Source organism: Homo sapiens, chromosome 6 (genome assembly GCF_000001405.40).
Source record: "Homo sapiens chromosome 6, GRCh38.p14 Primary Assembly".
NCBI lineage: Eukaryota > Metazoa > Chordata > Mammalia > Primates > Hominidae > Homo > Homo sapiens.
The window spans coordinates 23,049,335-23,073,001 of NC_000006.12; the positions used below are offsets into that span (position 1 = coordinate 23,049,335).

At 36.2% G+C, this 23,667-nt stretch overlaps 1 long non-coding RNA gene across 1 annotated transcript in view; it reads right to left on the bottom strand.

The window, feature by feature from the left end:
* Positions 1 to 6,962: 6,962 nt before the first annotated feature.
* Positions 6,963 to 23,667, bottom strand: part of LOC105374974 (uncharacterized) — a 120,749-nt gene continuing 104,044 nt past the window's right edge. Inside the window, exon 3 of the long non-coding RNA XR_926583.3 lies at positions 6,963 to 7,733. This is a non-coding gene — a long non-coding RNA (uncharacterized LOC105374974). The remainder of the gene's footprint in view (positions 7,734 to 23,667) is intronic.

Here is a 23,667-nt window from a genome sequence, read left to right on the forward strand (position 1 = left end):
GAAACAGGAGCTAATTGAAAAAAAAAAAACCCTCATTTATATGTTCCATATAAACCAGGGGACATTATACACACATGTGTGTGTGACAGTGTGTGTTTGTGTTTGTGCATGTGTGTGTGGGTGTATCCATGTATATTGATGAAAATTTTATAGGGAAGAAACATAAGATAATAAAAATAAATTCTATGGGGAAGAAAATGTTTAGCATTTCTTTGCAATTTGCCAGATGTTTCCTGAAAATTTGTCCTCTTCCCATCTCTGTCAAGTTAATCATTTCCAGGGGGCCAAGCTCCAATGAAAAGTGAAATTAACTTCCAGAGACAATTGCATTGAAAAAATAACAGCAATCACTCATATTAACATTACGAGTAATCACTCATATTAACATTACGATCATAACAATACTACTAATTTTAAAGCATATTTTTTATTCAGAACTATTGAATATTGAGGTAGATTGAATGGCGAGGTAAGTATGCTTGTATTTACCATATACCTTAAAGGTTTACCCTCCTTGAAATACGGTGCATCATACTGGTAGTTGACAAATGGAGAAATCTTCATGGATAATACAAGGGTCGTAATAGCTAAGTAAAAAAATACCTGTCTGGAAGTTAGAAAAAAACATTTTCAGCATCTATGCTATAAGATGTATAAGAAAACCCAGAATTCTGTGTCTTTATTGTATCTTTCAACCAGAAATCAGTCAATGTTGAAGGTCTCTTTAGTACTCTGATGACTATAAGGAAGATTCGGCAGAAGGAAACAGACAGCATGTGAAGTGTGTACTCTGAGAAGGAGGAGGCATTGCCAGCCATTCCCTATCACTTGCTAAAAATCTGTGAATCACAGAAGCATCTTTAACAAAGTAAGATGAAGGTAGGATCCATCACATGAGATATTTAGACCTGGCTTAATATGGCAATCTACTTATTGGAGACTATAAGGGCACGATGGCAAAGGGAAAATAAACGAGCTATTAAAATAAGAAAAATAATTTCAACATCCCGTCATTTTTAATATGAGCTAAACTTGAGTTCAGGGCACATATGTCTGTTATAAGCATGCATTTTATCATTTAATAAGTCCAAACGAAAATTGTTTAATGCAAGAACTTATAGGACAGCTCATGCAAATGGAGGAAGCAATCAGATTCAAAGAGCTGTTATACTCATGTTTTGTAGTGTCTGTAATGAACTGAAATGCAAAACAGACACTGCACAGTTGTTTCCTGGTCCATTTCAAATCACTAAGCCAGAGACACATCTTGTCAGTGAAGGGGAACCAGCACTATATCATATACTCCTTCAGGTTTAAGACAGCATGTTGATGTGGAACTCATGTGATATGTTTTCCTTCTGCCCAGAAACAAACAAACAAAAAGTAAAATACTGAAAGTCCAGTTTAATTCAGATAAATTTAATTCTGCTAACAGATACATTTGAATGGGTTGTTTCAAATGGATCTGTGTGATTTAGTACTAATGTGTCCAGTGATTTTTAGAATGCATTGGCATCTTTATCTTACCTTTTGTAAAGATAAATAATTTCTCTTGGTGAAGCTCTTTGAAGCCCTTGGAAAATACTGACTAAAGTTCAATATCTGATTATTTATCTTTTTATCTAGGATCATGGTTTCCAAAATGTAACTCTACAGATTGTGGACCATATGTTTTCAAGTACAGAACTATTTTCCAAAAGTATTCGCTTCTTATGTTCAATAATAGAATTACTTGTCTGCTGGATACCATGCAATTTTGTTATGCAAGTATAATAAATTTTAAAAGCTGACATTTGTCTCTTTTAGAAAGAATAGTTTCATAAATGGAGAAATAGGATTTGTAAATTTAACCTTTTAAGGCTGGGACCTGTGTCTATGGCTATTAAAAATAAAATAAGATGAAGTGCAAATTGATAGAGTGGCTTAGCCATGACATTGGATCAAAAAGAGACGGTTTGACTACAAAGGTACTACAATAGAGAATTTTTTCACGTTTTGGAACTTTTGGAATTTTTATCATGACATTGTGATGATTACATGAGGCTATAGTCCTTTAAACTCATTAAACTGCATTAAAAAAACCTCACTATAGATAGATAGATACATGATAGATAGATAATAGGAGTATAGAAGCATATGCATGGATACACACATTTTAAAACATATTGAATACTAAAATATGTAAATTTATTTATATATGAATTATACCTCAATAATATTGCTTAAAATATGATCTTATCATTTTCTATATATTCAGACTTACAAAGCTACAACCTAAATAACTGGTCATGCTTCTGTTATAAAAAGAACAAATAATTTTTATATAATGTACACGATACAATGGCTTTGAACAGTATCAAATATATGGTCTCACACTTTAAAATATTTGGTAATTTTGAATAAGACAGCCAAAATAATTGATCTGTGATAACTTTTTAAATTAATTGGAATAATATCCATTTTTCTATTTTTCAGATGAGTCTCTTAAACTTAGTCCTCAGGCCTTTTTTTTTCATATTTTAGAACTGAGAATTATTACTGGAAAATCATCTCCAAATTCAACTTTAGAAAAAGACTTCTATTTACATTAACTGAGTCTTCTCATATATAACAAAACGACTCAAGCAATGCATTTCTACTTGCTGGTAAATAATATTTGTGTGTTCTTGCCTATATTGTTTGCCTTTTGATGACAATTTTTTTCACTACTTTTCTATTTAAAAACTACTACATATCATCATTTGTGTGGGACACTAGAAGGTCAGTTGGCACCACTGACATTTTATATCACCTAAGTTCTTATTTTCATTAGATATGATAATTGAAATGGCACTTTTCTTTATTAAAACATTTTCACGTTGAAGCATGAAAATCTTATTTTATTAATTTTTAAAAACTAAAGCTCTCATCCATAAATGTTTTTTAATTGCAAATTATCACTGCAAAAGATAAGTTGCATGTTCATAAAATAATTCAAATGAACACAATTGAAGAAAGAGGATGCTGTTAAGATGAGATGTCAATTAAAGGCCAACCAGTGGGCCAAAAAGAACATTTTGGTAAAAGTTTTATCTGCATAAATTTCTAGTTGGAGAATTATCTATCAATTGGTGTGTTCATTTATAAGGCTTGTGTGTGTGTGTGTGCGTGTGTTTCCAAAGTTTGTCGGTAATGGTCATTACATTTTATAATTATTATATATCTATGATTTGGCTTTTTTATATTTGTCACTTGGATACTCTAAACTGGGCATTTCACTTAATTTTCATTTATTCAAATATTACTGAGGCTGAGTACTTCTTTTCCATGCATTTATTGGCCATTTGTATTTCTTCCAACTTGCAAATTTTAATGATAGTTATTGAGTATCTACTGCAGTGAATAAAACAACCATTTCTACCTTCCTGGAGCTTTCATTCCAATAAAGGCATAATCACATTTTTAATGACTTTCTGTTGGTACATTAATTATTAATATTTTAACATTTAGATAAATTAGTATTTGTTATTTGATTTTTGACCATTAAATTTATATATTCTTTTATCCATTAATGTCTCTTCATGATAGTTTCTGAGTTACATATTGGTGTTTAGAAATATGTTTTCTACCTTATATTTATCTGATGATTTCTTTTTTTTTACTTTCTTTTTTTTTTTTTTTTTTCAGACGGAGTCTCGCTCTGTCGCCCAGGCCGGACTGCGGACTGCAGTGGCGCAATCTCGGCTCACTGCAAGCTCCGCTTCCCGGGTTCACGCCATTCTCCTGCCTCAGCCTCCCGAGTAGCTGGGACTACAGGCGCCCGCCACCGCGCCCGGCTAATTTTTTGTATTTTTAGTAGAGACGGGGTTTCACCTTGTTAGCCAGGATGGTCTCGATCTCCTGACCTCATGATCCACCCGCCTCGGCCTCCCAAAGTGCTGGGATTACAGGCGTGAGCCACCGCGCCCGGCCTTTTTTTTTACTTTCTTGTCAATTTTGCCACAGTAAAAGTTATTATATTACATGTGATGAGATACATTCCAAATTAAAAAAAAAATCCTCTGATATTCAACTAATTGTACCAGTATTTCAATTGATTGATCTTTCCTTCTCCTACTGACTTAAAATGACTGTTTTATAATGTATCACATTATGTTAAATGTAAGCATCTGTATGTGGGATACCTCTTTATTTGCATGGACTTATATATTCTTCCATTCATTCTCTATCTATTTAATTACCTAGCATCATTACATACTTCAATATCTATTCACACCTTATAATTCTTCTTTTAAAAGAAACAAAACTATGTTAACTAAACTTGCCCATTTTTAATTTTCATTAAAGTTTAAAAAACTTTACAATCTCCTAAGAGGAATTGTGTTAGGATTTTTACTTTGAATTATATAAAAACTATTTTTAAATGCTAACCAGTGGTCACTACTAAAGTATTTAGCATTCCCAACTAAAAATATGATATAGCTCACTTTTTAGTTCACATATTTTAAATTTCAATAAATTCTAGAGTTTATTCATATATATCCTACAGAGTTTTGGTTCAATTTTTGGTGTTTTGTATTTTGGGTTGATAATACACATGCAGTTATTTTTCCATTATATTTTCTAATTGACTATTAACACATTTTTTAAAATTCACATCAGATCCCACCCCCAGAGGCCCTCCCTGCACCCCACCCAATGGATTGGATAAATTGGACTTTGTGATCATGAAATGTTTTCTAATGTTGATCCTTTTTTATTTTTCTTTACTAAATATTATGTACTCATGGGCTTTAGAAACCATTCTGGTTTACTGCCATTCAAAGATAACCTTTTTCATATTAGTTATTGATAAATATTTGTTTTTTAATTTGAAAAGTTTAATCTTCCAGTTCCTTCACATGGATAAATCTGTGCTACTTTTCAGGTTACAGATTTTCAGTCCAAATAGTGCAAGCTGTTTATAAACGGCAAAGCACTGCAACCAATTAGCCTGCATGATATATGTCATTACAAAAATGAAGATAAAGCTTTTAGGCAAACAAACAAAAAGAAACTTTCCCTGGGTTTAACATCTCAAGTGTCTATATAAGCTTAATTAAAGGCATTGGGATGAGGGGTGCATAAAGGCATTTATAAGACTTCATTTGGGTTTCCATCTGTCTTCTTATTTTCTTCTCACACACTGTCACAGTTACTCAAAAATAAGGCTTTGAAAGTAAAGCTGAAGCTGTGCAAAGAATTTCTAACATAATGGAAAAATCAGTAAAAACCTGTCTTTTTTTGTCTTGCTTCTGATTGAGTTATCACTACACAAAATTTGTTCCTTCAGGGTTTAAAAAAATTAACACTGCATTTTACTACGAATTCCAACTGAGACAAACCTGGACCTATTTCCACATTGATTCCCAGCCCAGTCAGTTATGTTTCTCAAGGATTTTTATAAATAGATTATAAATTTCCATGTAGAGTACCAACCCAATCAGTTATCTTCTCAAGGATCTTTATTAAATAAGTTATTGAACAAATTGGTCTTATTAGAATAATTATCTTTCATCTCACTCAGGCTCCTGTTCACAGAATCTAGGGACAGAGTTGAAACAACAAGGGTAAATTGGAATGGGATTCAGAATGCAGTGTTTGGTTTACCTCAGAAAAATAACCCTAATCTATGTCTGCTCAAAAACCTAGGTTTTAATACTAAAGCAAAATATAGGAAAGTGGGTACCCTTAGCAATTACCTAATGAATTCACTCACTCAACAGTAAAACTGGGTCATTCAGGGTAAACTTTACTATATGTTTAGCACTTTTTTTTTGTATTTTATAAAATCATAGTTGGAAGGAACATTTTATCCACTAACATCATAGCCCTTGAAAGGTAGTCTCTCCAATTGACCCTTGCTACATGTCTATTTTACATAATGACACAGAATTATTCAGTGAGAAAAATGTATATAGTAATAAATTTCAAGGATAGGCATACAACGTATTCCATTTAGTTCAATACTTGGTGAATAGCTCCTGTTAGACCAGGTGTAGGGATCGATATGTGAGGCACAAAGATGAACAAGAAAACATTCCTTCACTCAAGGAGTAAATAATCCTATGTAAGGTCAGACATAGGGGTTGCAATTTGCTTTTGACCACAGGCTGTGAGAAGATGGAGATGAAAGCAGCACACTTCTGAAGGTTCTGGAAGGCTTCTTAGCTCTATAGCATAGGCCCATAAAAAGTAGGTATACATGTCACCATCTTCATCCCAACTGTAAAGCCATCACTCAGAAGACCATGAAGTGTAAATGTTAGCCTTTTAAAGGATGTTATGTTTGCAAATTAAACTCTTAGGGAGAAATATTGAGTGCTGTCTGTATCCTTGGCTAGGCATTTTCTCAAGGCGTTCCACAAATCCCTTGGGTATATGACGTAAAATCTTGACTGTTCCTTTGTTTTCCTGCCCTAGTTTCCAAGCTATATCAAATCTCTCTCATGCTGAATTACAAACTCTTCCTATTTGGACCACTTGATCATAGGGTACCACGTTCAACTCCAAAGTCGGCTTCATAACACTTGAAAGGTGAGCTGGTCAGCACCCCTTAATGATCTGCAGTTTCAACATCCTATCCACCACTTCACCAGACTGTTACCTTCCCCAGACATGATTGACAATCCTCAGTATTTTCCAGCTGGACTGCTCCACTGATCTTGCTTTGAGCAGCCTACAGTTATGCAGTATCCCTCACCCTAGACTGGTTTCATCAGTCTGGGTAAGGAAAGGAAATTTCTGAACACTTTTTGGAAGCATGACCTAACTCCAACCTATTTGTTGACATCAGACAATTTTCTAAACATGTACATGGTGGCCTCCTTCAAACTAATCAACTAAGAATCAGGTAAAATTAAAATCTTTTAAAAATCTTTTCTTTTCTAAACTATTTTTAGAAATAAATTTTCAGAGTTATGATACATTACTTTGAACGGCAATTAGAGTGAAACGTTTTTATTCTTGATTTGATTAGATATTTAACCATCAAGCTTGATAAAACTGATATTTTGGATAGAAGGGAAGTCTGATCATAAAATAATGGCAATGTTTGTATTACTTGACAATGTTTGGGTGTTATTTGCAAACTTCTTCTAAATTAGCCTTTTTAAATTGGTTTGAAAAAAATGTAAGAATGTTAGAATTTTTACTGAAAACTCAAATTGAATAATTAAGAAACAAATATGGAGAAGTACTATACTGTTTTAAAAAACAGCCTTATCTTAGAAAACTACACCCCAGTTGCAATAAACACACCTAACTCCCAGATGTTGGTTTCTAATACCATTCTCCACAGAAAGAAAACAGAGTTCTTTGGAGAAATGGCTGATTCCAGGAATTAGGCATGAAAAATTCCAGAAGAGCCTGCAGAATGCCAGAAAATAAGGAAATGGGGAAAAACAAAATAACAACAACAATAATACAGAGCCAACTACCAACTAACCAAACAAACGAAATTCTGAAGGGGTTCCCAATAGCCAAAGCTGGAACTATTTGAGTAACAAAATGAAGTAGTGTCAGAATATAACAAAAATATATATCCATGAGTCCATACTGATACAAATAGATGACTGAATAATTTCGGAGAGAACAGACGTGTTTCCCTTGGAGAATAATTCCAAATAATTTATGTAGCTATTCAAGGAAGCAGAACATAACTCCTCATTCATTAAAGTGTTAGCTTCACATAGTGATTTTCTTCCAAGGAGACACTATGAAATGGGAGAGAAAAGAGTGGTTTTACAATGGAGAAACCTACAAAACACTATTATTCTTCCGCTTTTCATCATTTTTACCTATCCCCTTTTCTATTCCAGTATCCCATCCAGGATATCGCACTGCATTTATTTTTCTTATTCCTAAGGCTTTTCTTGGCTATGACAATTTCTCAGAGTTTTCTTGTTTTTGATGACCTTGCAAGGATGTGAAAGAATAAATACTGTAAAAGCAACATTGGTGTAACCGAAATCATTTATTCAGAAGACATTGGAAAGCAAGAAATTGAATTTTCAGACTAAGAATCAGAGGATAAGCGACATGTTCATTTGGATGATAGAACAAAATCATTTTCAATCTGGGACTTAATTTTAGTTTGGTTCATAAGTAATTTACCATTGAATATGTCTTAAAATAACTTTGCTAAGTTGTGTTAGCAAACTTTTAAGATATTTAATTTTTAATTCTGGTAAAAACATATTCAGCAATATTATTGTTTGATAATTTGAACTATTATAGAATTTGCATTCTAAGAATATTTTGTAATATCTTCAAGATTAAGCTAAAATTCACGCATGTCAAACCATATCCTAAAAAGAAAATTAATTATTACCAGAATTTTCACAAGGTGTTCTGGAAAATAATGTGATGTTTTCAAGCTTTTAGAGGTTATATACAATACTTATATGCTGAAATACCTTAATACGCCACTCAAAATGCATATTTCTTAACTATAGAGTAGCTTTCTAATCTGTTAGACTCTGGACTACTGAAATATAAAAAGTATATATGAAACTAAATGATACTTTCCTTTTTTATGATATAATACATAGTGATATGGTTTGGCTGTGTCCCCATCCAAATCTCATCTTGAATTGTAACTCCCATAATCCCCATGTCTTGTGGGAGGGATGTAGTGGTAGGTCATTGAATCATGAGGGTGAGTTTTTCCCGTGCTGTTTTCATGATAGTGAATAAGTCTCATGAGATCTGATGGTTTTATAAAGAGAAGTTCCCCTGCACATGCTCTCTTGCCTGCTGCCATGTAAGACATGCCTTTGCTCTTCCTTAGCCTTCTGCCATGATTGTGAGGTCTCTCCAGCCATGTGGAAGTGTGAGTCCATTAAACCTCTTTTTCTTTATAAATTACCCAGTATTGAACATGTCTTTATTAGCAGCTTGAGAACAAACTAATACACATGAAAAATATAATTATGTTAATTTTCAAGTTTTTAAAAAAAATTCTTAAATTCTGTTTCTCACTTTCTATTCTGTCTCTTCGTAATTTGTAAGAAAACATATTTATTGGTGGAGCCAAGATGGCTGAATATGAGCAGCTCCAGTCTACAGCTCCCAGTGTGAGTGACGCAGAATATGGGTGATTTCTGCATTTCCAACTGAGGTACCGGGTTCATCTCACTGGGGAGTGCCGGACAGTGCGTGCAGCGTACTGTGTGAGCCAAAGCAGGGCGAGGCATCGCCTCACCTGGGAAGCGCAAGGGGTCAGGGAATTCCCTTTCCTAGTCAAAGAAAGGGGTGACAGACAGCACCTGGAAAATCGGGTCACTCCCACCCTAATACTGCACTTTTCCAACAGGCTTAACAAATGGCACACCAGGAGATTATATCCCGCACCTTGCTTGGAGGGTCCTATGCCCATGGAGCCTCGCTCATTGCTAGCACAGCAGTCTGAGATCAAACTGCAAGGCGGCAGTGAGGCTGGGGGATGTGCGCCCACCATTGCCGAGACTTGAGTAGGTAAAAAAAAGCGGCTAGGAAGCTCGAACTGGGTGGAGCCCACCACAGCTCAAGGAGGCCTGTCTGCCTCTGTAGGCTCCACCTCTGGGGGCAGGGCACAGACAAACAAAAGGCAGCAGTAACCTCTGCAGACTTAAATGTCCCTGTCTGACAGCTTTGAAGAGAGTAGTGGTTCTCCCAGCTCGCAGCTTGAGATCTGAGAATGGGAAGACTGCCTCCTCAAGTGGGTCCCTGACCCCCGAGTAGCCCAACTGGGAGACATCCCCCAGTAGGGGCAGACTGACACTTCACACGGCCGGGTACTCCTCTGAGACAAAACTTCCAGAGGAACGATCAGGCAGCAGCATTTGCGGTTCACCAATATCCGCTGTTCTGCAGCCACCGCTGCTGACACCCAGGCAAACAGGGTCTGGAGTGGACCTCCAGCAAACTCCAACAAACCTGCAGCTGAGGGTCCTTCCTGACTGTTAGAAGGAAAACTAACAAACAGAAAGGACATCCACACCAAAAACCCATCTGTATGTCATCATCATCAAAGACCAAAGGTAGATAAAACCACAAAGATGGGGAAAAAACAGAGCAGAAAAATCAGAAACTCTAAAAATCAGAGCACCTTTCCTCCTCCAAACGAATGCAGCTCCTCACCAGCAATGGAACAAAGCTGGACGGAGAATGACTTTGATGAGTTGAGAAAAGAAGACTTCACAAGAACAAACTACTTCAAGCTAAAGGAGGAAGTTCGAACCAATGGCAAAGAAGTTAAAAACCCTGAAAAAAAAATTAGACGAATGGATAACTAGAATAACCAATGCAGAGAAGTCCTTAAAGGACCTGAAGCAGCTGAAAACCAAGGCACAACAACTACGTGATGAATGCACAAGCCTCAATAGCCGATGCGATCAACTGGAAGAAAGGGTATCATCAATGGAAGATGAAATGAATGAAATGAGGCGTTGAAGAGAAGTTTAGAGAAAAAATAATAAAAAGAAACGAACAAAGCCTCCAAGAAATATGGGACTATGTGAAAAGACCAAATCTACGTCTGATTGGTGTACCTGAAAGCGATGAGGAGAATGGAACCAAGTTGGAAAACACTCTGCAGGATATTATCCAGGAGAACTTCCCCAATCTAGCAAGGTAGGCCAACATTCAGATTCAGGAAATACAGAGAATGCCACAAAGATACTCCTCGAGAAGAGCAACTCCAAGACACATAATTGTCAGATTCACCAAAGTTGAAATGAAGGAAAAAATGTTAAGGGCAGCCAGAGAGAAAGGTCGGGTTACCCACAAAGGGAAGCCCATCAGACTAACAGCGGATCTCTCAGCAGAAACTCTGCAAGCCAGAAGAGAGTGGGGGCCAATATTCAACATTCTTTTTTTTAATTTTTTTTAATTTTTAATTTTTTAATTTATTTTATTTTTTTTAGTACTTATTGATCATTATTGGGTGTTTCTCAGAGAGGGGGATGTGGCAGGGTCATAGGATAATAGTGGAGAGAAGGTCAGCAGATAAACACGTGAACAAAGGTCTCTGGTTTTCCTAGGCAGAGGTCCCTGCGGCCTTCCACAGTGTTTGTGTCCCTGGGTACTTGAGATTAGGGAGTGGTGATGACTCTTAACAAGCATGCTGCCTTCAAGCATCTGTTTAACAAAGCACAACTTGCACTGCCCTTAATCCATTTAACCCTGAGTTGACACAGCACATGTTTCAGAGAGCACGGGGTTGGGGGTAAGCTTATAGATTAACAGCATCCCAAGGCAGAATAATTTTTCTTAGTACAGAAAAAAATGGAGTCTCCTATGTCCACTTCTTTCTACACAGACACAGTAACAACATTCTTAAAGAAAAGAATTTGCAACCCAGAATTTCATATCCAGCCAAACTAAGCTTCATAAGTGAAGGAGAAATAAAATTATTTACAGACAAGCAAATACTGATTTTGTCACCACCAGGCCTGCCTTACAAGAGCTCCTGAAGGAAGCACTAAACATGGAAAGGAAAAACCGGTACCAGCCACTGCAAAAACATGCCAAATTGTAAAGACCATCAAGGCTAGGAAGAAACTGCATCAACTAATGAGAAAATAACCAGCTAACATAATAATGACAGGATCAAATTCACACATAACAATATTAACCTTAAATGTAAATGGGTTAAATGTTCCAATTAAAAGACACAGACTGGCAAATTGGATAAAGAGTCAAGACCCATCAGTGTGCGGTATTCGGGAAACCCATCTCATGTGCAGAGACACACATAGGCTCAAAATAAAGGGATGAAGGAAGATCTACCAAGCAAATGGAAAACAAAAAAAGGCAGGGATTGCAATCCTAGTCTCTGATAAAACAGACTTTTAATAAACAAAGATCAAAAGAGACAAAGAAGGCCATTACATAATGGTAAAGGGATCAATTCAAAAGGAAGAGCTAACTATCCTAAATATATATGCATCCAATACAGGAACACCCAGATTCATAAAGCAAGTCCTTGGAGACCTACAAGGAGACCTAGACTCCCACACAATAATAATGGGAGACTTTAACACCCCACTGTCAACATTAGACAGATCAATGAGACAGAAAGTTAACAAGGATATCCAGGAACTGAACTCAGCTCTGCACCAAGCGGACCTAATAGACATCTACAGAACTCTCCACCCCAAATCAACAGAATATACATTCCTTTCAGCACCACGCCACACCTATTCCAAAACTGACCACATAGTTGGGAGTAAAGCACTCCTCAGCAAATGTAAAAGAACAGAAATTATAACAAATTGTCTCTCAGACCACAGTGCAATCAAAATAGAACTCAGAATTAAGAAACTCACTCAAAACCGCTCAACTACATGGAAACTAAACAACCTGCTCCTGAGTGACTATTGGGTACATAACAAAATGAAGGTAGAAACAAAGATGTTCTTTGAAACCAACAAGAACAAAGACACAACATACTGGAATCTCTGGGACACATTCAAAGCAGTGTGTAGAGGGAAATTTATAGCACTAAATGCCCACAAGAGAAAGCAGGAAAGATCTAAAATTGACACCCTAACATCACAATTAAAAGAACTAGAGAAGCAAGAGCAAACACATTCAAAAGCTAGCAGAAGGCAAGAAATAACTAAGATCAGAGCAGAACTCAAGGAAACAGAGACACAAAAAACCCTTCAAAAAATCAATGAATCCAGGAGCTGGTTTTTTGAAAAGATCAACAAAATTGATAGACCGCTAGCAAGACTAATAAAGAAGAAAAGAGAGAAGAATCAAATAGACGCAATAAAAAATGACAAAGGGGATATCACCACCGATCCCACAGAAATACAAACTACCATCAGAGAATACTATAAACACCTCTATGCAAATAAACTACAAAATCTAGAAGAAATGGATAAATTCCTCGACACATACACCCTCCCAAGACTAAACCAGGAAGAAGTTGAATCTCTGAATAGACCAATAACAGGCTCTGAAATTGAGGCAATAATTGATAGCTTACCAACCAAAAAAAGTCCAGGACCAGATGGATTCACAGCCGAATTCTACCAGAGGTACAAGGAGTTGCTGGTACCATTCCTTCTGAAACTATTCCAATCAATAGAAAAAGAGGGAATCCTCCCTAACTCATTTTATGAGGACAGCATCACCCTGATACCAAAGCCTGGCAGAGACACAACAAAAAAAGAGAATTTTAGACCAATATTCTTGATGAACATTGATGCAAAAATCCTCAATAAAATACTGGCAAACCGAATCCAGCAGCAAATCAAAAAGCTTATCCACCATCATCAAGTGGGCTTCATCTCTGGGATGCAAGGCTGGTTCAACATACACAAATCAATAAATGTAATCCAGCATATAAACAGAACCAAAGACAAAAACCACATGATTATCTCAATAGATGCACAAAACGCCTTTGACAAAATCCAACAACCCTTCACGCTAAAAACTCGCAATAAATTAGGTATTGATGGGACGTATCTCAAAATAATAAGAGCTATCTATGACAAACCCACAGCCAATATCATACTGAATGGACAAAAACTGGAAGCATTCCCTTTGAAAACTGGCACAAGACAGGGATGCCCTCTCTCACCACTCCTATTCAACATAGTGTTGGAAGTTCTGGCCAGGGCAATCAGGCAGGAGAAGGAAATAAAGGGTATTCAATTAGGAAAAGAGGAAGTCAAATTGTCCCTGTTTGCAGATGACATGATTGTATATCCAGAAAACACCATTGTCTCAGCCCAAAATCTCCTTAAGCTGATAAGCAACTTCAGCAAAGTCTCAGGATACAAAATGAATGTACCAAAATCACAAGCATTCTTATACACCAATAACAGACTAACAGAGAGCCAAATCATGAGTGAACTTCCATTCACAATTGCATCAAAGAGAATAAAATACCTAGGAATCCAACTTACAAGGGATGTGAAGGACCTCTTCAAGGAGAACTACAAACCACTGCTCAATGAAATAAAAGATGATACAAACAAATGGAAGAACATTCCATGCTCATGGGTAGGAAGAATCAATATCGTGAAAATGGCCATCCTGCCCAAGGTAATTTATAGATTCAATGCCATCCCCATCAAGCTACCAATGACTTTCTTCACAGAATTGGAAAAAACTACTTTAAAGTTCATATGGAACCAAAAAGGAGCCTCATCGCCGAGTCAATCCTAAGCCAAAAGAACAAAGCTGGAGGCATCACGCTACCTGACTTCAAACTATACTACAAGGCTACAGTAACCAAAACAGCATGGTAGTGGTACCAAAATAAAGATATAGACCAATGGAACAGAACAAAGCCCTCAGAAATAATGCCACATATCTACAACTATCTGATCTTTGACAAACCTGACAAAAACAAGCAATGGGGAAAGGATTCCCTATTTAATAAATGGTGCTAGGAAAACTGGCTAGCCATATGTAGAAAGCTGAAACTGGATCCCTTCCTTACACCTTATACAAAACTTAATTCAAGATGGATTAAAGACTTACATGTTAGACCTAATACCATAAAAACCCTAGAAGAAAACCTAGGCAATACCATTCAGGACATAGGCACGGGCAAGGACTTCGTATCTAAAAGACCAAAAGCAATGGCAACAAAAGCCAAATTTGACAAATGGGATCTAATTAAACTAAAGAGCTTCTGCACAGCAAAAGAAACTACCATCAGAGTGATCAGGCAATGTACAGAATGGGAGAAAATTTTTGCAACCTACTTATCTGACAAAGGGCTAATATCCAGAATCTACAATGAACTCAAACAAATTTACAAGAAAAAAACAAACAACCCCATCAAAAAGTGGGTGAAGAATATGAACAGACACTTCTCAAAAGAAGACATTTATGCAGCCAAAAAACACATGAAAAAATGCTCATCATCACTGGCCGTCAGAGAAATGCATATCAAAACCACAATGAGATACCACCTCACACCAGTTAGAATGGCGATCATTAAAAAGTCAGGAAACAACAGGTGCTGGAGAGGATGTGGAGAAACAGGAACACTTTTACCCTGTTGGTGGGACTGTAAACTAGTTCAACCATGTGGAAGTCAGTGTGGTGATTCCTTGGGGATCTAGAACTAGAAATTCCATTTGACCCAGCTATCCCATTACTGGGTATATATCCAAAGGATTATAAATCATGCTGCTATAAAGACACATGCACACGTATGTTTATTGCGGCACTACTCACAATAGCAAAGACTTGGAACCAACCCAAATGTCCAACAATGATAGACTGGATTAAGAAAATGTGGCACATATACACCATGGAATACTATGCAGCCATAAAAGAGGATGAGTTCATGTCCTTTGTAGGGACATGGATGAAGCTGGAAACCATCATTCTCAGCAAACTATCGCAAGGACAAAAAACCAAACACCGCATGTTCTCACTCGTAGGTGGGAACTGAACAATGAGAACACATGGACACAGGAAGGGGAACATCACACACTGAGGCCTGTTGTGGGGTGGGGGGGAGGGGGGAGGGATAGCATTAGGAGAGATACCTAATGCTAAATGACGAGTTAATGGGTGCAGCACACCAACATGGCACATGTATACATATGTAACAAACCTGCACATTGTGCACATGTACCCTAAAACTTAAAGTATAATAAAAAAAAAGATAGCGCCAATGCACTCCAGCCTGTGTGACAGAGTGAGACTCCATCTCAAAAAAATAAATAAAAATACTGAAAATGAAAAAAGAAGAAAATATATTTATTAATTTTGTAGCTTTTTAAGTGAGATTGTTTTTTCAATCATGGAGAATAATATTGAAAACGCTTCCAAAAAACAGTATCTATTAAAAACTATCTATGTAAGATCTTCAATTTAAAAAAAGGACCTGTAATTGGCTGCAAAATGTGCAACTTTGTTTTTATTCCCATGACCTGTTGATGTCCAGATCAATGTTTTTTCTTGTAATGTAACTAGGAAGTGTAATGAATACACAATCTCATTTAATATTTATGAATCCAAAGCCAGTTTTTCTCCTTGAATTATAAATTGAGTGTAGCACATAATTTTAACAAACTATAGGCATATATTATGTTTTTGTGAAAAATACAATGATTAGGGTAGCTGGATTTATAAGTTTGCTGTGACTTTCGTTAACAAGCATATGAGGAGTTGGTCTCTTTGAATTAAAGCCTCATGTTAAAAAAAAGTAAACCTATAAATTACTTCAAGAGACAATACAAGAAAACCTACCAAAATAAACTATAAATTAAATAAAGGTACACTAAAATATTTTAAGTGACAGACCCAGGGATCCCTTAGTGCTCTAATCTGTAGTGCAAAAGACAAGGAGACATGGAAATGTCAGTAAACATTTCATTGTGCAATACTCCTGCTAAACAAGAAAAGGCATTTGTCTTTGGTGTTGAAGTATTTAAGAGTGAAGAGGCAAGGTGGAAAATATAATTGAGTATTTAAAAAGTATAATTCAATTGACTGCATTGGCTACAGGGAGAACACTCTAGCAGCTGGTTGAGAGAATTCCATACCAGGACTCTGCAGTCAGGTGCAGGATGGTTATTCATTCATCCAATGAAGCATGAGTGAAAAGCATTATCTCATGTAGAAACATTCTTATTGGTTGGTCAAAGAAGAGGAAAGAAAACTCCTGGCAAAATTAATCTCATTGACATTTCACATGTATTTTGTTCAGAATGGTTTCGGACTTATTGTTAAGAAAGTCTTATTAACTCTCTGCTCTGGGCAATATCAATAATTTCTTTGGATCTTCAAGTTTGATTTAGTCCCAAGAACAAGGAAGCTCCTGCCATAAATTACTCTCCTTGTCACTATGAGGAAAAGACAGTTATACATTTCATTGGATTATTAAAATGGTAGAAATGATGAACTTATTTCAAAAAATATTTAACATAATGTAAAATTACCTGTTGAAATATACAATTAGTCACTTGAAAGTTCAACAGCATATCTATATAATCACAAATATATTATATATATACATATATAATTAACTGTTCTTAAGACTGTTGCTTTGAGTTTTTTATTATTGTTTTCATTCAAGTGTTTATCTGCTTTCTAGGAAAATCCTTTTTTGTTACTTGCTTTTGCCAGAATTTTCAACCTAAAGCTATCAATTATTTGTGCCAAAAATTACTAAGCTTAAGTGGTTTTTAAATTCCCTCTTTAATTTTCAGAAAGCTCTGACATTTTCTGAATCTACAGATAACTGGTTATTTTATAATCACAGATCGTCCTTCTTAAATCACTTAAATATGCCAATAATGACTTCTTTCTATACTCAACAGCTAAATTTGAGCCTAGAACCCTGCTGGTCAGTCTAGGATGGTGTGTTTTTTATGTACTAGTGACATTTTAGAGCTCAATTCTATTTTCACTGGGGAAAGATTCTATGATTCCATTAGTCATTAGTCCTTCGAGTCTTAAGCACTGCAGTGACTATAATCTCCCAAAGAAATGAAGTGACAGAACCATTCAACATATTATAAAAATGTATAAAATTATGAAAGGAGACTAAGAAAATCAGCCTGTCATAGATGATTGTTATAACATGAATCTGCATAGTTACTCCAAAAAGGAGACAGTATATTTTATTCAGCCAGTAGTTTATGACACTTAACCAGGCTAGTGACAAGACAAATTTGTAGTACTGTGGTTCTAATATTAAAAGCCCAGTTGCAAAGTCAAACTGAATCAATGTACTCATCCACACATTCACACAGAGACACATAAATGCAAGCTTGAATGTCAGAAATGTAAAAACAATAAAAATAATATTGTCTGGAGTACTATTTAGACTACTATTTAGAGTGATTTAAAATCTAATGATTGCCACTACCAAATTGTGTAAATACAGATCTGGCATTTTTGGTCTATCATACTACCACTTATGAAATACAAAGGTAAAACTGGACATGTAGTAACTCTTTTTAATATCTAAAACCCTAAATCATTCTCTGACACATCAGGGTCAATTTATCTTTTGAAAAATGTAAACTTATTAATTCATCTATACATCAAAATTTATTAAGCCTATATGAAATGCCATTGTTCTGTGTACTGGAATATAGCAGAGAACAGGAAAAACAAGGTCCATGGAAATAGGAAGACAGCAATAAATAAGAAGATAATAAATAAAGCATGTAATTTTAGAATGTGGTCATTGCTATGAGAAAAATGAAAAAGGGAATTGCACAAGAGAGGAATTGAAAGATGGCTACTTCAAATTTAGTAATTTAGGAAGGCTTCTACATATATAATTTTATATTAATTACAATTGCAAACAAGGGAATATTTTTAACAGGAGTGCATAACATATTTACTTTTTGTTGTTGTTGTTCAAGAGCACAATCATTGCTTTGAGGAGAATAGACTGTAGATTCTGCGGCAGAGCAAATGTGACAATGCTAACACTGCAGATAAAAGCAATAGAGGTTGGTAGAAGTAGTGATGAAGGAAAATGGCAGGGCTTGGGAGACATCGGAAGGCAGAGTCGAGGGGATTTATTGATGCATTGGATAAAAATGGTGTTGAGGGAAAAGACAGGATTAAGAATTATTTCCAGATTTAGCAATTATTTGCAACTGGTTTGATGGCAGTATCACTTACTGAATAAAAAAGAATGAGGAGAAATACTTGATTGAAGGTAAATTTTAGGTGTTCAAATAGCAATATCCAAAAGCAACTGACTGCATAAATCTGGAACTCATTTAAGAGGTTAGGGCAGAATATAACTTTTGGGGAGTCAAGTTATCTCTATAAAGACATCTAAAGTTCTGAACTGGCTTTGGTTTTTTTAGGTAGAACATATTAGAGATGAGCAAATAATGTAGAATTCAAGCTGAAGCATTTCATCCAGTCAGAATTGAAGAAGCCAAGCAGTGAGGTTAAAGAAAAACACACAGGGTTTCTACTTATCTACTGATTCCTAACAAATCCCTTTAAATTTTAATGGTTTTAAACATGTCTTTAATAGACTCCTACAGCTTGCCATATACAAAAATCAAATTCAAATGAATTAAATACTTAAATATAAGACCTTAAACTATGAAACTATTGCAAGGATACACAGGGAAAAATCTCCAGGATGTTGATCTGGGCAAAATTTCTTCAGTAATACGACACAAGCACAGGCAACCAAAGCAAAAATGGACAAATTGATCATATCATGTTGAAAAGCTTCTACACAGCAAAGGAAACAATCAACACAGTGAAGACCTACAGAATGGGAGGAAATATTTGCCAACAATCCATCTAACAAGGGATTAATAACCAGAATATATAAAGAGTTCAAACCACTCTATAGGACCACTCTTTATGTGTGTATGTGGTTAGTGGTGTGGGTAGTTCTTTCCCCTCTGTATAAATCTGTGAAAGCTGCAGATTTAAATTCAATCTCCTCCCTATAGGGGGTAAGTAGAGATAATAAATTAGTGTTTAACAAAGAAGATTATTGAGAAGGCCTTGGAATGGGCAGAGAAGTGGGGCAGTAGGTTAGTCTTTTATTAAACACATCATCTCCATCCTTTAGTCCATGTGCATATTAAGAAGAAAATATCTAAAATCTAGAAAACCTACATATTGTATTGTTTTCAGAGTAAGAAACAGATCACAGGAAGCTATGAACAAAACCTCTCTCTCTGTACAATAAAAATGTCACATGGTTTCATTTGCTTAGATATACAAAGGGAGGGATTTGGTGGAAACTAGCATAAAATGCAAGGGGGAAAAAAACATGACAGGCAGACATAGTTGCCAATGACCTAAAACAGATGCCAAGTCAATTGAAGGGCCAATTTGTCAAAAACATTCCCTTTTAACTGCAAATTTCAAAACCACAAAATTTAACTTGAAATATGCTGTGACTGGGAAACATCGCTCAGATAATCGAGGTTATAATTACAGTGGAGCTGATGAAACATCATCTATAATCTATACTTTGGTTGATGCTATTTAAAGACATTTAAAGGTTTTTTTTCTTTGCCCCATTATTTTTTCCTCAAGTTTTCTATAAATTTATTGGATAAAACAGTTATGCTGTATAGCTCACAATTCTGTATAAAAGACTATCACTGCCAAGAACCAAAGAAAGTTTGTTATCAGGGGACTGCCAGTCTACAAATCAGTGTGATTAGTAGAAACATTCTTGCTGTTGTTAACAAATTGTGTCAAAGGCACATACAATGACATTCCAATATGCTAATGATACAAATTTAATTTGACATCCCAGAGCACATTCATGCCTGAATCTCAGAACCAGCACTGGGGTATAGAAAGCTATTTATCTGTATTTTAAATTACACATTGGTGCCCACCACTGGCTAATTTTTTGTATTTTTAGTAGAGATGGGGTTTCACTGTGTTAGCCAGGATGGTCTTGATCTCCCAACCTCATGATCCTCCCACCTCGGCCTCCCAAAGTGCTGGGATTACAGGTGTGAGCCACCACGCCCGGCCTAATGGCAACAATTTTGAAGGTAATTTTTACAAAATGGTTCAAAATGGGAACTACCAAGAGCGGTAAGTGGGATCAAAAGAAGGTGTTTAAATTTTTTTTTGTTTTAGTAGAAGACATAATTAAAAAAAAATCTTTTAGGTTCAGGGGTACGTGTGAAGGTTTGATGCACAGGTAAACTTGTGGCATGGGAATCTTTTGTACAGATTATTTAATCACCTAGTTATTAAGCCCAGTACCCAATAGTTATATTTTCTGCTCCTCTCCTTCCTTCCGTCCTCCATCCTCAAGTAGACCCCAATGTCTGTTGTTTCCTTCTTTGCATTCACAAGTTCTCATCATGTAGCTTCAACTTATAAATGAGAACATGGACCCTTTTCTGTTCCTGTGTTAGTATGCTAAGGATAATAGCCTCCAGCTTCATTCATGTTCCCACAAAGGACATGATCTCATACTTTGTTTGTTTGTTTTGTTTTGTTTTGAGACAGAGTCTTACTCTGTCACCCAGGCTAGAGTGCAGTGGTGCAATCTCAGCTCACTGCAACCTCCCCCTCCTGGGTTCAAGCAATTCTCCTGCCTCAGCCTCCCGAGTAGCTGGTGTTATAGGCGCCCGCCACTGCACCAGGCTAATTTTTTTTTTTTTTTTTTTTTTTTGGGATTTTTGGTAGAGACGGGGTTTCACCATCTTGGCCAGGCTGGTCTCAAACTCATAGTCTCGTGATCCACCTGCCTCAGCCTCCCAAAGTGCTGGAATTACAGGTGTGAGCCACCAAGCCCAGCCGATCTCATACTTTTTTTATGGCTGCATAGTATTCCATGGTGTATATGTAGCACACTTTCTTTATCCAATCTGTTATTGATGGGTATTTAGGTTGATTCTATGTCCTTGCTAATGCAAATAGTGCTGAAATGAACATTTGTGTGCATGTGTTTTAATGGTAGAATTTTTCTGGGTATACAACTAGTAACAGGATTGTGGAGTCAAATGGCAGTTCTGCTTTCAGCTCTTTAAGGAATCACCATACTGCTTTCCATAATGGATGAACTAATTTGTACTCCCACCAATGGTATATAAGTGTTCCCTTTTCTCTAAAATCTAACTAGCATCTGTTTTTTTTTTTTTTTACTTTTTAATCATAGCCATTCTGACTGGTGTGAGATGGCATCTCATTGTGGTTCCAATTTACATTTCTCTAATGATCAGTGATATTGAGCTTTTGTTTTTTTTTTAATGCTTGTTGGCCACATGTATGTCTTCATTTGAAAAGTGTCTGTTCATGTCCTTTGCCCACTTTTTAATGAGGTTGTTTGTTTTTCTCTTGTAAATTTGTTTAAGTTTCTTATAGATGCTGGATATTAGACCTTTGCCAGGTACACAGTTTGCAAATATCTTCTCCCATTCTGTAGGTTGCCTGATTACTATGTTGATGGTTTCTTTTGCTGTGCAGAAGCCCTTAAACTGAATTAGCGTCTTTTTCATGAAATCGTTGCTCGGTCCTATGTCCAGGATGGTATTGCCTAGGTTGTCTTCTAGGGATTTTACAGTTTTGGGTTTTACAATTAAGTCTTTAATCCATCTTGAGTTGATTTTTGTGTGTGGCATAAGGGAAGGGTTCAGTTTCAATCTTCTGCATATGGCTAGCCAGTTCTTCCAGCACCATGTATTAAATAGGGAGTGTTTTCCCCATTGCTTGTTTTTGTCAGTTTTGTCAAAGATCAGATGATTGTAGGTACATGGCCTTATTTCTGGCCTTCTGATTCTGTTCCATTGCTCTATGTATCTTTTTTTGTGCCAGTGCAATGCTGTTTTGGTTACTGTAGCCCTGAAGTTATAGTTTGCAGTTGAGTAACGTGATGCCTACTGCTTTGGTCTTTTTGCTTAGGATTGTCTTGACTATTTGGGCTCTTTTTTGGTTCCACATAAATTTTAAAACAGTTTTTTTCTAGTTCTGTAAAGAATGTCATTGGTAGTTTCATAGAAGTAGCATTGTATTAGTCAGGGTTTTCTAGAAGGACAGAACTAATAGGATACATGCATATATAAAGGGGAGTTTATTAAGGAATATTAACTCACAACGATTACGTGGTCCCACAATAGGGTGTCTGCAAGCTGAGGAGCAAGGAAGCCAGTCCAAGTCCCAAAGCTGAAGAATTTGGGGTCTGATGTTCCAGGGCAGGAAGCATCCAGCATGGGAGAAAGATGTAGGCTGGGAGGCTAAGCCAGTCTAGTCTTTTCACTTTCTTCTGCTGCTTTTTATTCTGACCCCGCTGGCAGCTGATTAGATTGTGCTGCCCAGATTAAGGGTGGGTCTGCCTTTCCCAGTCCACTGACTGAAATGTTAATCTTCTTTGACAAAACCCTCACAGACACACCCTGGCATAGTACTTTGCATCCTTCAATTCAATCAAGTTGACATTCAGTATTAACCATCATAAGCATTGAATCTGTAAATTTCTTTGGGCAATATTGCCATTTTAATAGTATTTAATAGTAAGCATTGAATCTGTAAATTTCTTTGGGCAGTATTGCCATTTAATAGTATTCCTATCTATGAGCATGGGATGTTTTTCCATGTGTTTGTGTCTTCTCTGATTTCTTTGAGCAGTGCTTTGTAATTCTTATTGCAGAGATTTTTTTTACCTCCCTGGTTAGCTGTATTCCTAGGTATTTTATTCTTTTTGTGGTGACTGTGAATGGGATTGCCTTCCTGATTTGGCTCTTGACTTGGCTGTTGTTGGTGTATAGAAATGCTAGTGATTTTTGTACATTGATTTTATATCATGAAACTTTGCTGAAGTTGTTTTTCAGCTGAAGGAGCTTTTGGGCTGAGACTATGGGGTTTTCTAGATATAGAATCATGTCATCTGCAAACAGAGATGGTTTGACTTCCTCTCTCCCTATTTGGATGTCCTTTATTTTTTTCTCTTGCCTAATTGCTCTGGTTAGGATTCCAATACTATTTGAATAGGAGCCGTGAGAAGGGGCATCCTTGTCTTGTTCTAGTTTTCAAGGGGAATGCTTCCAGCATTTGCCCATTCAGTATGATATTGGCTGTGGGTTTGGCATAGGCTCTTATTATTTTTAGGTATGTTATTTCAAAACCTAGTTTATTAAGAGTTTGTAACATGAAGTGTTGTTGAATTTTATGAAAAGGCTTTTCTGCATCTATTGAGATAATCATGTGGTTTTTGTCTCT